Source organism: Homo sapiens, chromosome 6 (genome assembly GCF_000001405.40).
Source record: "Homo sapiens chromosome 6, GRCh38.p14 Primary Assembly".
In the NCBI taxonomy this organism is placed as follows: Eukaryota; Metazoa; Chordata; class Mammalia; order Primates; family Hominidae; genus Homo; species Homo sapiens.
The window spans coordinates 39,201,659-39,216,639 of record NC_000006.12 but is presented as its reverse complement, the minus strand read 5'-3'; the positions used below and the strand labels follow the sequence as shown (position 1 = coordinate 39,216,639).

The 14,981-nt window shown below is 52.6% G+C and overlaps 1 protein-coding gene across 2 annotated transcripts in view, besides 7 other annotated features; it reads left to right on the top strand.

Annotated features, from left to right (window-relative positions):
- Positions 1-14,981, top strand: part of KCNK5 (potassium two pore domain channel subfamily K member 5) — a 40,505-nt gene that overhangs the window by 12,836 nt on the left and 12,688 nt on the right. The gene's annotated exons all lie outside the window — the stretch shown is intronic.
- Positions 2,394-2,563: an enhancer, noted in NCBI's record as "experimental_91581 CRE fragment used in MPRA reporter constructs". NCBI's record gives its function as "activates a minimal promoter by MPRAs in K562 erythroleukemia cells, with activity observed for both the introgressed and non-introgressed 6:39181938 variant alleles {active_cell/tissue: K562}" and the evidence as "EXISTENCE:reporter gene assay evidence [ECO:0000049][PMID:34662402]".
- Positions 6,181-6,721: an enhancer, noted in NCBI's record as "H3K27ac-H3K4me1 hESC enhancer chr6:39177695-39178235 (GRCh37/hg19 assembly coordinates)". NCBI's record gives its function as "activates a minimal SCP1, AML or CMV promoter by ChIP-STARR-seq in naive H9 embryonic stem cells {active_cell/tissue: H9 hESC(naive)}" and the evidence as "EXISTENCE:reporter gene assay evidence [ECO:0000049][PMID:30033119]".
- Positions 6,750-7,707: an enhancer, noted in NCBI's record as "H3K4me1 hESC enhancer chr6:39176709-39177666 (GRCh37/hg19 assembly coordinates)". NCBI's record gives its function as "activates a minimal SCP1, AML or CMV promoter by ChIP-STARR-seq in primed H9 embryonic stem cells {active_cell/tissue: H9 hESC(primed)}" and the evidence as "EXISTENCE:reporter gene assay evidence [ECO:0000049][PMID:30033119]".
- Positions 11,548-12,507: an enhancer, noted in NCBI's record as "H3K27ac-H3K4me1 hESC enhancer chr6:39171909-39172868 (GRCh37/hg19 assembly coordinates)". NCBI's record gives its function as "activates a minimal SCP1, AML or CMV promoter by ChIP-STARR-seq in naive H9 embryonic stem cells {active_cell/tissue: H9 hESC(naive)}" and the evidence as "EXISTENCE:reporter gene assay evidence [ECO:0000049][PMID:30033119]".
- Positions 11,548-13,608: a biological region, named in NCBI's record as "P300/CBP strongly-dependent group 1 enhancer GRCh37_chr6:39170808-39172007".
- Positions 12,409-13,608: an enhancer, noted in NCBI's record as "P300/CBP strongly-dependent group 1 enhancer chr6:39170808-39172007 (GRCh37/hg19 assembly coordinates)". NCBI's record gives its function as "activates an origin of replication core promoter dependent on BRD2, BRD4, P300/CBP, MED14 and CDK7 cofactors, with strong dependence on P300/CBP, by STARR-seq in HCT116 cells {active_cell/tissue: HCT116}" and the evidence as "EXISTENCE:reporter gene assay evidence [ECO:0000049][PMID:35650434]".
- Positions 12,508-13,467: an enhancer, noted in NCBI's record as "H3K27ac-H3K4me1 hESC enhancer chr6:39170949-39171908 (GRCh37/hg19 assembly coordinates)". NCBI's record gives its function as "activates a minimal SCP1, AML or CMV promoter by ChIP-STARR-seq in naive H9 embryonic stem cells {active_cell/tissue: H9 hESC(naive)}" and the evidence as "EXISTENCE:reporter gene assay evidence [ECO:0000049][PMID:30033119]".

Below are 14,981 nucleotides of genomic sequence, written 5' to 3'. Positions count from 1 at the left end.
GAGGCAGAGGGTAAGTAACTTAGTGGAGGTCACATAGCTAGTTAGTGGCCTGAACCCAGGCCCTCTGAGTCCAGAGCCAGAGCTCTGCAGCTGCAGTAGAGGCTGCCGTATCCTAAATTGCTGCCAGTCTTTCGAATCTTGCTAGGCTACAAGCTGCTCCTTGAGACTGGGTTTTCCACACACACCCCATCACTCCCAGCACCCAAGAAGTGCCCCGTGCGCGTGTTAGCTGGCCCCTTTGCTGCCCAGCTCTGCACTGTTCAGTCTTCCAGGTTCTGACACCAAAGTACTGCTGTTTTCTGACCACATTGACCATATATAGTTTTTTTGTTTTTGTTTTGTTTAGTTTTGTTTTGAGATGGAGTCTCACTCTGTCGCCCAGGCTGGGGTGCAGTGGTACGATCTCAGCTCACTGCAACCTCCACCTCCCAGGTTCAAGCGATTCTCCAGTTTCAGCCTCCTGAGTAGCTGGGATTACAGGCATGCACCACCACACCCTGCAAATTTTTTTGTATTTTTAGTAGAGACAGGGTTTCGCCATGTTAGCCAGGCCGGTCTCCAACTCCTGACCTCAGGTGATCTGCCCGCCTTGGCCTCCCAAGGTACTGGGATTACAGGCGTGAGCCACCACGCCCGGCCCCATATATAGTTTTGTTTGACATTTTGGCTATATAAGTGGCTGCCACAGCTCAGAGGTGGGGTTGTTAACTCAATCCCCAGCCCCTCCCCCTACGACTATCCTGACAGCCCTAAGAGGCCCCTGACTTTTGTTTACTGCTTCTAACGCCTGCTGCTTGACAGGTTTGTGGTCAGGGGACCCTGAGACTAAAACCCCCAAGGAGGAATCACGTAAGGGAGATAGAATTGCCTCTTAGCTGTGTTTCTGTCTGACCTGCCAGTCAGCTAAACCCATGCTGTGTCACATCCACTCATTTGGTTTCCCTAGGGTTAACCTCTAGCTGGACTGTGGTCTGCACCTTGGGAGGGTATCGCTTTAGTCTTGCCCACATGGCTTGGAACAGGTTATTCTGTAGCATGCCAAGGACCTCAGGGCGGGGCCCTTTATGGATGTTTATTTTGGCTTGGGTACCCTTTGTGTCTAATGCAAGGTTCCTGCTCCTCTCATGCCCCCAGTGCGGGATGGAGGTAGGCACCTATTCACAGACTCTCTGGAGGAGAAAGACGTCCATCCCCTACCTTCCCTATCACTCCTGTTCAAATAAAATTCTCACCTCCCGGGCAGTGGAATGCATCCTGACAGTGTTAGCTTTGGAAGGGTGCCCTTCTCTTCTCAGCATCCCTGCCCCCTTCAGAGCAGCGAGTGGAAGGGCTGCCTCTCGCCAAGGGGATAAGTGCTGAGTGGGCGAAGTGGGGTGAGCCGAGGCAGTAGTGTCTTGTCAGCACCCCCCGGGTTAGCAGGAAAAGGGAGGGTGTCCTGATTAACAGCTTTTCAACACCTCACCTCCCCCATCTTCCAGACTCTAGCCTCAGCCCTGCAATCCACCCAAATGCATGGCCCAGAGAGTTGGACTCACCCACAGTTGGGAGACTAGAAGACAGCTGAGTCCTGGGCCAGCTCTGCTGACTTGCTGTGTGTTTAGGCCAGGTCACTGCACCTCTCTGAGCTAAGCACTTGTTCAATAAGGCCAATTAAACACTTAGTGCCCGCTGTATGCCCAGTGCTGGATTAAGGGTTGTGGGAATGAAGTACTGGACATCATTTCTGCCTTTGGGGTTGGTGGGAAGGTATCACCATGCAATGCATATTATGAATTGAGTGGGGTTGGGGCATATTGTGAGGGCCTGTGTGCTTCAAGGTAGAAAAGTTCCTGTAGGCTTGGGCTGTTTAGGTGGCTCCCCTGACCCTGGCCTGGGGGTTGCCTCCTTTCTAGCTGCATTGCTCTCTAGGCTCCCCTGCCCCGTGTCAGAGGACATTGCACGGGGACTATTGCCTGGTCTGCACCCTTCTCTGCCCTCCCTCCCTACAAGCCCTCGGTTTTTACCTGATTGGATCCGAAACCTAGCACCAAGCATGAGGGTAATTATTAATGAATGTCCTGAACCATGAAGCCGTGTTTCTCTCTCTCCTTTGTCCTGTCTCCCAACAGCCCCCAAGCCCAGAGGCAGCACCAACAGAGCCCTCCTCTGCCCCTCAGCTGGGCCCACCTCCTGGGAAACAATCTGGAAAACTGTCACTAGCCCCTGCAGTGGGTGTCCTGCCGGGCCAGATTCTCCCCCAAGCCAGCAGATGTGCTGGTGCTGACCATACCCCTCTGCCCGTCATCCATGCAGTGCCCTCCTAGCTGGGGACACTCTGCTCTGTTTGGACAGGTCAGTAGGTTGCCTGGTGAAAGCATGTGTCAGCATCACTCTGGGAGCATGTCTATCTAAACCCAGGGCAGGCTCCCACAGCCGAGGCAGGTACTTTTGGGTCCTGTTCTAGAAGGTTCCTGTCACCACCAACCACACTGGAAATTCAGAGTTCACAGAACTCAGTTTTGGCACAGCCTCTCTTTTTGGAATGCTCTGAGACTGAGAGCTGCTGCATATGGTCAAACCCTCCATCTCCACCTACCCACCGTTGGGGTTATTGTGTACACATCTTTTTTTTTTTGAGACAGAGTCTCACACCATCACCCAGGCTGGAGTGCAGTGGTGCGATCTCGGCTCACTGCAACCTCCACCTCCTGGGTTCACGCAATTCTCCTGCCTCAGTCTCCTGAGTAGCTGGGATTACAGGCCCACACCACCACACCCGGCTAATTTTTTGTGTTTTTAGTAGAAACGGGGTTTCACTATGTTGGCCAGGCTGGTCTGGAAAATGGGGTTTCACTATGTTGACCAGACTGGTCTGGAACTTCTAACCTCATGATCCGCCCACCTCAGCCTCCCAAAATGCTGGGATTATAGGTGTGAGCCACCACACCCAGCCTGTGTACACATCTTAAAATTTTCCCTAGACTCTAAGCTGCCTGAGGCCGGCTTCCCACCCGTGTATACACATTCTTACACCCCTCTTCCCCACTGCTCTGCACACAATTTAATCTGTGCTTATTGAACTGGTGGGCTCTGGCCTGTGGCATGGGAGACCCTTAGACAGGCTGGAATAGGGACCTGGTGCTTCCATTTGGTGTTTCTCAAAGTGGGCCTGAGGCATGAACCAGACTTCAAGTTATACAAAATCAAGATGAGGAGGGTGAGGAAAGCAGGAAGATGCAAGTTAAAGTGTGTGGTTCTCTCCGTTAATATTGCGTCATAGAAACTCAATTTAAAAACAGAAGCCAGGCAGGGCCGAGTTGGGGAGACAGGATTATTGATGACTTTTTCTTTCTCTGCCTCTCACATTTTCTGTAATGTGGTTGTATTGCTTTTATAACAAATAACTCAATTTTTTAAGGGATAAAATACATGCATGTACCATTACCCACTTCCACACTGGTTATTTTTAATGTGTGAGGTATACAAACATCTGGTTTTAGCAGAACATACTCTGAAAACCAGTATCACTTTTGTAATCACTAACAGTGTATAGTTGACCCTTCGTATCTGTGGGCTCCAAAGGACTGACTGTGGGACTTGAGCACTGCAGATCTGGGTATCCACAGGGGGTCTTGGAACCAATCCCCCTCCAAGGATACCAACCTGGATTGGTTCCCGGGGACTGTATTGAACACCTGACTGGGAGATGCTCTGGTCCTAGTTCATTCATGTCTTTCGAGCCTAGTTCGTTCTTGTCTTTTGAGTCTTTAAATTTAGCTAGCAGACTGCTAGCTTCCTTGGCAGCAGTGCTGTGGAATGCTTTGAGGAGAAGGACAAGAGAAACTAGGTGAGCCTTTGGTCTGCAGACCAAGTTGGAGGTAGTATACCAGGACAGAGAGTCACCAAGAAGAGAGTGTGGCAGGGCCAGGGACACCCATCCGGCTGTTTCCAGTGTTGATCCATTTCCCACACAAAGGTGGTGGGGGTGTGGTCTGGGAGGGGAGTCCTGCAGAGGCCCATGGACAAGTGCAGCCTTGGACCCACTGTGCTCTCAGCTCCACCCGGTCCCGTGGGGGCCCAAGACTTGCCCTGTCCTTCAGATGAACGAAAAACACAAGCACAGGCAAGACTTGAAACAGCACAGGACTGTTTGTAATCCAAAGTCAGGAATGTGCTATGGACAGTGGCCCATGGCATGGGTCATCCTGAGGGTCCAGGGGAGGCAGGCTCTGCCAAAGGAGGCTGCAGGTAGGATGTGCTTGATACAGTCTTGGTACTAGTATGGTAGTCACTACCCACATGCCGCTATGCAATTTTACCTTTTTGACTTGATATTACTAATCATTACGCCTGCTTACTTATTTATTTTTTGAGACAGAATCTCTCTCTGTCACCCAGGCTGGAGTGCAGTGGTGCCATCTTGGCACACTGCTACCTCTGCTTCCTGGGTTCAAGCCATTATCCTGCCTCAAGCCTCCTGAGTAGCTGGGATTACAGGCATGCACGACCACACCTGGCTAATTTTTGTATGTTTTGTAGAGACGGGGTTTCACCATGTTGGCTAGGCTGGTCTTGAACTCCTGACTTCCAAGTGATCTGCCTACCTCAGCCTCCCAAAGTGCTGGGATTACAGGCCTGAGCCGCCGTGCCTGGCCTGCCTGCTTAATTTAATTTTTTCTTTTCTTTTTTTCTTTTTGAGACAGAGTTTTGCTCTTGTTGTCCAGGCTGGAATGCAATGGTACGATCTCAGCTCACTGCAACCTCCGTCTCCTGGGTTCAAGAGATTCTCTTGCCTCAACCTCCAGAGTAGCTGGGACTATAGGCATTCACCACCATGCCCAGCTAATTTTTGTATTTTTAGTAGAGACGGGGTTTCACCATGTTGGTCAGGCTGGTCTTGAACTCCTGACCTCATGTGATCTACCCACGTTGGCCTCCCAAAGTGCTGGGATTATAGGCATGAGCCACCGCACCCAGCCTGCCTGCTTAATTTAAAATTAAAACTAATAAAATTCAATTTTAGTTCTCCAGTCACTGGCTACATTTCTAGTGCTCCGTAGCCAGTGGGGACTGCGCAAATACAGAGCATTTCCATCATCGGAGAGTTCTCTTGGGCAGTACTAGAGTATTGGGCCAGAACCCGAGGTTTCTAATGCCACATCTGGCCTCCCTCTGCGCCTCGTCAGCTTTCATTTCTGCTCTGGTCCTATCCACTGGAAAACTTGTAAGCACAGCCGAGGCGAGCGCACCCCCTGGACCAGCTGACAGAAAGCATGTGTTTGTGCAAGCCGTGTGATTGCCTTGCCAGGTCAGTCCTCGTGGACTCAGATTGTTCAGCAGTGGCTCCCTTGGAGGTGGACCAGGCTGTAGAAAGAGAATCCTTTTTCATTGATCTCTGACTTGTTGCTCATAGTCTCCAGATTCCTTCTAATGGCCTGCTCCAGCCCAGCCTCCCCACTCTGCGGGGAAGCACCAAGTATCCCTCAGCTCTTATGGTTCATAATGTACACTGATCAGGTGATTTTACCAGCTAAGCAGGTATTTCTCTTCTTAGGGTGAAAACTATCTTCCCACCACAAATCTAGAAGGAATGGAAGAAGGGGACGGCTAAAATTTTCAGTTTTCCAGGTTTTTTTAGGGCCCATGGTGGGGGTCCCGGGCCAGGAAAGGTGGAGTAGGGGAAGGGGAGGAGGGGCGGGCACTGTTTTTAGGATGGGTGGAACACCTGACTGGGAAATTGCTCTGGTCCTTGTTCATTCATGTCTTTTGAGCCTCAGTTCCCCATCTGTGTTTTGGCTTCTTGCTCTGCTTCATGCTCCATTGCTTGGGCTTGAAGGAGCATGGAGTGAGCCCCTGGGACTGTCCTGGCCTCGCTGTTGGTTTGTTGGCTGCTTTCTCTGCCATCTTCTGCTGTCATGTCCCTCTTTCCCGACTCCTGCCTGTCTCTTGTTAAACTATGAGATCCTCCTGAGCAGGGTCTGTGTCTTGCACTTCCTTTATTTTGCCCAGTGCCTGGGCACATGGTTGGTGTTCAGCAAACACTTGATGAATCAGTCGACCCTGGTTTGAGCTTCATTGAGCAACAGAAGTTTGTCCATGACTCTGGCCCCATCGTTGTTGGGTTAATAGGTTGGGTGGGTTGCCCTGTGCATGGGTCGGGGAGCTGGTGCCTGGCTAGATCTGGCATTTATAGCAGGTGTGCCCAGCTACATTTTTGTGCCTCCAAAGAGGGGCATGGCCCAGGGGTCCCTAGGGGGAGTGAAGGTGACGAGAACCCCCTGTTCTACCACCTTGCCCTCCTGTTCCCCTACTCTTCCTGGGAAGTAGCCAGGAGCCTAATTTTACACATGGGGAGAGGGCCAAGGGACTGTGTCCTGGCAGTCCACTGCTTGGTCAGTTGTTTAGCTCTCAGCAGCCCGGGATGAAGGGCTCTGCTTCAGCAGGCTTGAGGGGAGACGGACCTCCCTGGGCAAGTCTGACAAGTGGCTGCCCCTGTTACCACTCACTGAAAACAGTTCACAGGGGGACAGGATGCAGCTGTGTGAGGCATAGGGCCTGCTCCCCTGCCTGACTTAGAAACCTGGCACATTACTTTCCCTTCTTTCATTATATCCTCCCGGCCACATACAAAGCACTCTTACCCCACAACCCTGGACGTTTGTAAACAAGTTCATGCATCGGGAGCATCTCTAACTTGCCTATGCACCAGCCTTCCTGCTCTCTATCGAGCCTTTTGATCCATAACCTTGAGAATTGATGAGGAGGTGGCATCGTTCCCGTTTTACAGGTGAAGAAAGCGCAGTCATGACTCCAGGCTAGGGAGTAGCCAATGCTATACAGGCTCATCTGTCAAATGTTCTTTCACTCCACCAGGAAGGCTGAGGCCTTGCCAGAGCCTGGTTGGGTGTTAGGGGTTAAACAGGCTTGGAAACGTCTGTGCTTAAAATCCCAGCCCTTGTGGAGGAGAGAAAGGATGTGTGTGTGTCTGAGGCATGGCCCTCGTTCCTTCTGCCTCTCGCATTTCACAATGGGGCTATGTCTCAGAGTGAAGAATTTCCATTTCCTGTTGCCTGGCCTCTCATCCTGGGCCCCAGGTTAGGGGAGTTGGAGGTTTTTCCAACCCCCACCCCATCCCTCACCTCAGCCTAGCCTCTCTGTACTAGGAGGGCCTGGCAGTATTTTTCCATACCTTCAGCACAAAATGGCTCTGTTTCTTAATCCCAGTCACGTCCCACGCCCCAGTTGGCTGGGGATGGATGGTGGGCGGGGGCAATGCATACAGGGCAGAAGAGGCAGGACAGCTGTGCCTGGCTGGCCTGTCTGCTTCCTGGCATACCTGGATGGTGAGGGCAGGGGTAGTGCATGGTCAGGGGATAGCAGCCACATGTATAGGCTCCCTCTTCTTTCCTACACTATTTGGGGATCGTCTTTGAATTGCAACCCTGTGGTTTCCAAATGGGGGCCTTGGTGACCAGAGCCCCTGGGGTAACTGATGTGTGGCCTGAGATCTGAGTCAGGGAGCCTGAACTTTAGGGTAATACTCCTAAATACTCCTTTTGCTTTTTTTTTTGAGACTGAATCTCTCTCTGTCACCCAGGCTGGAGTACAGTGGTGTGATCTCAGCTCACTGCAACCTCCATCTCCCGGGTTCCAGCACTTCTCCCTGCTTCAGCCTCCTGAGTAGCTGGGACCACAGGCATGCACCACCATGCCCAGCTAATTTTTGCATTTTTAGTAGAGATGGGGTTTCACCATGTTGGTCAGGCTGGTCTCAAACTCCTGACCTCAGATGATCTGCCAGTTTCGGCCTCCCAAAGTGCTGGGATTATAGGCATGAGCCACTGTGCCCAGCCTCCTTTTGCATCTTGCCCAGTGATTTTGAGGTTGTTGGGCATCGAGATCTTGCTCTTGTCTCTAATTGTGACTCAGTCTTCTGGTGGGGTTTGCGTTCAGGATCTGGGGGTCATCATGGCAGAAAGCCCCCTCCCCCCCTGCACAGAATGCCATCCATCCCAAGATGTCTGTGCTGGTTTGCTGGTAGTTTCTTATACAATTTATTCCAGAGAGGATGGAGGCCAGCTGTTGTCTGTCTCAGACGCAGACTGAACCAAAGGAAATGGGCTTGGACTGCAGCCGGAGGGATTTAGGTTAGAGTCAGACAATAAGGAAGGATTTCGGGACAGGTGGTTGGCTCTCAGGAGGATCCTGCAGGGGGCTTTGAGAAGAAAGATGGGGGCAAGATCATGCTCAGAGGCCGTGGGTGGATGAGAAAACCAGCTCCTTGAATGAGCTCCCTGGGGGCCCGGTTTGGGTGGGAAGGGGAATGTTGTGTATTAAGCAGGCAGGGAGCTTACTTCATAGGGGTAGAGAAACCCAGTGGCCCCACCCCTGGTACAGGATTAATCCCATCCTGGTTCCTCATAGGCTTTTCTTTTTTAATTAATGAAGAGGTTTACAGTTTAACCACTTGATAATCTTAAACAAACTGTAATAAATGGGTAGGCTTAATAATCTCTTATCAGAACCTCAGCCCTCAAGGATGGCAGTTACTTATTACCCTAAGCTGCCAGCCACAGGCACAGGGGGAGAGGGAGGAGGGAAGAGCAGGTGAGGAGGCCCCTGGGTTGGGGAATTTGCTAGGTTGTCAGGGGCATTCTGAGAGGCAAGAGGTAGGGTAGTGTCAGCCCCAACTGTGTTCAAGGATACAGGTGTAACCTAGAGAGACAAATGTGGCACAAGGGTCAGGAGCCAGCTTCCTCCCAGGGAGGTAGGAGTCTGGCGGTATTGGCGGTGGTGAGACTTGTCCTTAGAGCCCCCGGCAAGGGGGCCCAGGGCAGGCAGATGTGTCCAGGAGAACAGGACTGGCAGCCACAAGGACTAAAGAGCCTCATGGATCAGAGCATCCTTCCTTCCCACTGCTGGAAGGGCAGGAAATCAGCAGCAATGCATGGGGAGAGCTGGGGCCATCAGGCCTTCAAACACCCTGGTATCCCTCAGCTCCTACCCCCCACCCCCGCCACCCACCTGCCTGCTTCCTCTGGAATCCTGATGGTTCCAGAGTCCGCAGGGGAACTGACTCACCAGGGCTAGAACCTCTGGGGGCTTTGGGCTTGCAAACAGGTAGGGTAGGGAGGAGACCCCGGGGCCTGGAAACAGTCATCAACCCGCACTGTGCCTGCACCTGTCTGGGCTCCCTGCCTTCTCCAGTGGAGCTAGAGCCCACCGTCCAGCCTTGGAAGGCACACGTCTTGGAGACTCAGTCATTCATTGGCAAATACTTGAGCACATACTAGAGCTAGGTTCTGTTCTGTGATTAAGGGATCCATGAGTCTCTCCTTGTAGGGCTCATGATCTATTTAGGGTAGATAACTAGGAAGCCAGAGAAACAGATGCCTAGTAGAATGTCAGGTAGTGATGAGTGCAGTGAGGTGAGGAGCGGGAGCGGGACGGAGGCTTAATATTCCAGGTGGCATGGCCTCTTTCAGGAGGGGACATTCAGGTGAAACCTGATTGAAGTAAGAGTGAGCTGCAGGAAGGCACCTGCAAAGGCACAGGGGGGTGAACTGCTGAGCCGGAGGGACTGGCCCATGCCCAGGAGGTGGTAAATGGAAGGAGGGCATTGCTGTCAACACCTAGCCCAGCTCCCCAGCTCTGGAGGCCACATGCAGCAGACACAGACCCTCAGAATGGAGGTGTCCTCCCCAAGCCCCTTGTTCTATTCACAGAGCAATAATAGTCACATTTATTTTCCTTCCCAGTGCTCGTTTCTGGAACACGCCCCATGTGCCCAGCACTGAGCTGTTCATCATTTTTTTGTAATCGACGCGCCAACACAGTGAAGCCATGACTCTTGTTTTCCAGATACGGAGTGTTAAGCTCAGAGAGGTGATAAGACATGCCCCAGGTAACCCGCTAGTGGATGCTGGAGTCAGGATTTTGAACCCAGATGTGGCCTTTCCCCTCTGCCCTCTCCCCTGTGCTGCTCAGAGAGGGCCCCACACTTGATATTTGTGTTGGAGAGACTGGCCAGCCCAGCTTGTGTGCCAGTGCAGAGCTGGGTTTGGGAGGACAGGAAGCAGGCCAGCACGCGAGGGGCAGCTGGGCGGCCCGGGAACTGCACCTCCCTCAGGTCATTGGCCCGGGATGGGAAGGTGATGAGTCAGCAGTTCCCACAGCCACCTTTCTGGCCTGCTCCAAGGACTGTTTTTAGAAACCTTGAGTGGCTGGTGGCTTCCTGTAGCTGATCCTTGACCCCACCCCAAGGTCAAGGTAAATCTGAGGCATCTGCAGGGGAATGGGGTAGGGAGCGTAGGCACGCGCTTACCCTAACTCATATAGTCAGGTCAGATCCGTGGGTATGACCGCACAGCACAGCCCTTTATCTCTGCTATGTCACCAGTGTCTACCTGCACATTCCCTGCTGTGCTTTGGTTGGTGTTTCTCAGCCCAGTTCCGGGTGGCAAGTGGAGGGCTGGTTGTTCTGTGGACAGGGCCTCACCTGCTCTGCTGGGTCACCAGCTTGCTGTTTGGCTTCACCATCTTTCTGTTTGGCTTCACCATCTTTCTAGCCTCTCTATAGATTCCTCATCTACAGAATGGGAATAGTGTATCCATTTTGTCTGGTTTCCCTTCAGGGTCTTAGGTCTCAGATTAGACGGTGGAAGAGGAGTTATGGGTGTGAGAGGTGCTTGATGAATGTGGGGTTTTGGTGGGGAAATGCTAACTCAGGCCCTTATTAACCAAGTCGGGGAGGAATGAGCCAGGCCTGAGAGCACTGCTGGCTTCCCTGGAAAGGACAATGTGCCAGGGGCCCAATCCAAGTGCAGGGGCTTGGGCTAGAGCTCTCTAACCCCACCTTAGAAGTAAGGCCTCTTCCTAGTGACCCACAGCCTTATGGAGGAATGGAGGAGGCTGCTCTGCCCAGCTGGACAGGCTCAAGGGATCCCAGCTAAAACTGTTTCCTGTCCCTACTGACACTGTTGTCCCACTAATTGGGAGACACCCCTTGGCATCGCTCAGGGCAGAGAGGTGTCAGACACCCCTGGGATCTGAACTCTGGGGGCAGAGAAGGGGACAAAGTCACAAATCCAGGCCTCAGTGTCCCAGATAGGGCAGAGACACCAGCACAGGACCATGGACCTGGGCCATAGCCACCCTGGGCAGGGCAGTGGTTGTGAATTGGGGTAGAGAAGCTATAGGTAAATGAAGGATGTCCCTCTTGTCATTTAAGCCTCCCTGGACACATCCCACCTTCCCTGAGAAGATGAGGCAGGGGTAGATTTTGAGAGCATGGCCTCAGAGGGTCATCTGGTATGTGTGTTTGAGAGGGAGGGGGCTCTTTCCTGCTCCCCAGGCCCACTTCTCAGGCACACAGCAGTGCTGTGGGACCAGGAAGGGGCCCTCGAGGTCCCCTGTGTCTGCCCGCACAGGGATTTCCAGTGTCAGTCACTGATCAGCTCAGCCCTCCAGGTGCCTGAGAGCTCACGCTGACATTCCATCCTGAGCTTGGGCCCCACCAGCCCTTCACTGCTTGCCTTAGCCAAACCTGCAACCTCAGGTCAGCTCTGCCCTGGGCTTGTTCTCACAGGAGGGATGCCCAGCTGCCCCCCTGCCCTGGGGGATTACCGTCCCAGCCTGAGAACAATGCGGGCAGGGTCACCTGCCTTGTTTTCTTTGTTCCTCCCAGTGAGGACAGGGCTCCCAGGCCTGTGAAAGTCAGAAGCCCAGGGTTTCTGCTGAAAACCTGCTCCCATCTGGCAGGGGCTTGCCCTCCTGAGCGTGAGACCTAGCAGTGCCTCTGGGCTCTGCAGAGACTGCTGAGAGATGGCCCAGGAGGGCAGGCTGGGGGAAGCCCAAAGGTGGACAAGAGGACAGTTCTGCCTGTGTGCATGCACAGCCTGCCCCGTGCTAATGTCAGGGGTGGGGCTGCGCTCAAGTCCCTAATGAGGGAGAATGGATTGGATCTAGGGCAGTGCGTTTGAAACTTGGCTGAACATAAGATTAGAATCACCTGGGGGAGCTTTGCAGCATCCTGGTTCGCAGTTCAAGCCCCAGACTATTTCTCTTGGCATCTCTAGGGGCAGGACCCGGGCAGGAGTATTTTTCCAAGCTCTCTCAGATGATCTCAGTTTGTAGTCCAGGTTAAGAAGTAGTATGGTGACTGATGAGCTAAGTCCTGAGGATAGAAATGCATTTTCTTGAATGTGCTATGGAGAGGAGGTAGGGGAGGTATCACCTGCCCAGGCAGGGGGACTCCAGTAGTCATAGTCCAACCTCCTCATTGTACAGAGAAGCAGGCAGGCAAAGCAATCAAAGATTCTTCGAGGATCTCAAGACAGTACTGGCAGAGCTGAGCTGAGCCTGGGTTTTTAGGCCCTGCGCCGACGTCCTAGCACACCAAAGCCTCCAGCCATTGATTTGGCCTGCCTGCCTTCTTCTCAAATGTGATCCATACTCCAGATAGATATCAGAGCAAATCTGAGAAAAGAGATAAGCAACCACAAGTTAACAAAGTCCGCTTTGCAACAGCCCAGCTCTGGTCTTCGAGGAGACGGGTGTGGCCCTGCTGCCTTTCGTCCAGTATCTGCTCCTTCCCTGGGAGAGACAAAGCTCAGGCGAGCTGGGTTGGCTGCTGGTGCAGGTATCAGGGTGGCACCACTGGGCCCTTGCCAATACCTTGCTCGTAAACTACAGCTGCCCTCCGAGCCACACCCTGGTCACCTGACCCGGGGGGAGAGGCAGTGAGGAAAATACCAAGAATTCCTTCTCTCTGCCCTGCATACTCCTTTTTAGACAGGAAGATGGAGAAGGCCTGAGCCTCCCTCCCCCTGTCAGCTTCCACTAGGGCAGCCCCTGCATATTAGAATCACTTCTGGAGCTTTTTAAAAGTTGTGCCAGGTCAACAGAATATCTGCAGTTGGGGACCAGGCATAGCATTTATTTAACCTCCAAGGGGATCTACTGGGCAGCCTGTACCGAGAGCCACTGCCCATTGTCTTGCTTCATGTTCACGCTGGGTGGGGGCTGGGAGGGAGTTGGACTAGAGTTCAGAGAAGCTGCCATCTAACACCTCCTGGCCTCAGCCTCACCTGGGGAGGTACTGGCGGCTGCCAGGGGTGATGGGGGGGAAGTGGTGAAGACAGGATGGGACCAGTGGTGGCATTTCTTTCCCTCAGCAGCCCTGCCCAACTTGCTTGGTTGGACGAGAAACTGGCCAGGGTGGCTGTGAGCCTCTGAGGGGCAGAGGCCAGGAGAGATGGGGCCTCTGAGGGATGGGGTGAGGCATCTTGGGCTTGCCCGTTTCCCTCTGCCCCTGACTCCCAGCCATCAGGTGGCCAGGGAACATCTCTGGAACCACAGTCCCTTCCTCCATGTGGCCTGAGGGAGCTGATGGATCAGGCTGAAAATCGACAGTTTTCTCTGTTAAAATGGGGAAATGGGAAGAGTTGGCAGTTGTGAAGAAGGTTAGGGACAGTGTTCTCACCCTTTCCTGTCTTCCAGGCACAGGGCTTGAAATCCCTAGTCCTTCTCTACTGCTTGTCCAGGACATGCCAGCCCATCTGCTTCAGCTTTGGGGGTGAGCAGCTTTGCTCCTGGGTCTCAGATCTCTGCAGGGTCTTGTTCCTGACGGACACACGTGTGAATCACAATATTGATTGCAGATACATTTATCCAGTGCTTACTGAGTCCTAGGTTCTTTTCATGTGTGCAGAGTAGGTGTTATTTTACAGACAGAGAAAGTAAGGCTGAGAGGCTGAGTTATTTACCCAGAGGCTTGCTGCCAGCCATCGAGAGACCCCTCTGATTCAAATCCAGGTTGGTTCCACCTTTTCCATGAGCACAGGTCTGCATTTGGAAGATGGCCCTGTGGCTTCCTAGATAGAGCTAAACCTGAGCTGCAGAGGCCCTGCTGCCAATGGGATTGATTGAGTGCCCTCAGAGAGGAGGGGCTTTGGGATTCAGTAAGGAAAGTGGTCAGCTGGAAGTAGATGTGCAATTTCTATTGACTCTTCTGTTCCTTTGCCTGCTCTCGGTACATTTACTGCCCTCGTGGAGTTTCCCAAGGGGACAGGCCTCCCTGCAGGAAGGACAGTCCCAGTCACCTGAGGGACCTCTCCCACTCCACTGCTGATTACTCTCCCATCTTGAACCCTCTCCTCTGGGCTCTTGTCTGCCTCCCTCACCTTGCCCCTTCCCCAGCTCCTGCCCCCTGCCCTCTCCTCTCAACCTGGTGATCCCCACCTCTGCAACCCAAGACCAGTTGGAGGCTGGTGGTTTCAGCAGCCCCTGTGAGCCCCGCCGCCGCTGGGGTCTGTGCCTCTCCTTCCTGCCCTCTTGCTCTTCAGGCTTCCACCTTGTTTAACTGATGAATTTAGTGAAAAGCCAACTGCAGAACGATGCTGGAAGTGGTTGGGGATGGAGGGGCACTAGAGGACAAGTTAGTTGAGGCCAGGGAATATACCCTTATTTATTTAAATGTATTTATTCACTCATTCAGTAAATATTTGTTGAATAGCTACTGTGTGCTAGGCAGTGTTCTAAGTTTGGGGAATACATCAGTGAAAAACAAAACAAAAGGCCCTGTCCCCATGAAGCTGGCACTCTAGGGGAGTCTCTGCATGTCTGTGGATATTGCCTGGTAGGCCGTTTCACTTGCACCTAGAAGCTCACCTGCATGCCTTTCACCCCCGTCTCTAGATAGTGCAGAGGTTAGAAGCCACCTGGGCCCTCATCCCAGCTCCACAACTAACTAGCTCTGTGACCTTGGGCAAATGCTTCTGTAAGATGGGGGTAGTAATACTTTAAACTAAAATACAGTAAACTTTAGAGGGTACTGGCATTTTGTGAGATAAGTAAAGTGCTTGGATTTAGGTGCTTGTCTTCATAAGTGCTTAAATATCAATGTATTATTTATGAAATAAGAATGAATAGCCATGCCCACACCCCTTACAAGGTTGCTGGGAAGGGAGGTGAGAGGAATGATAAGTTTCTTTCTGTACTAC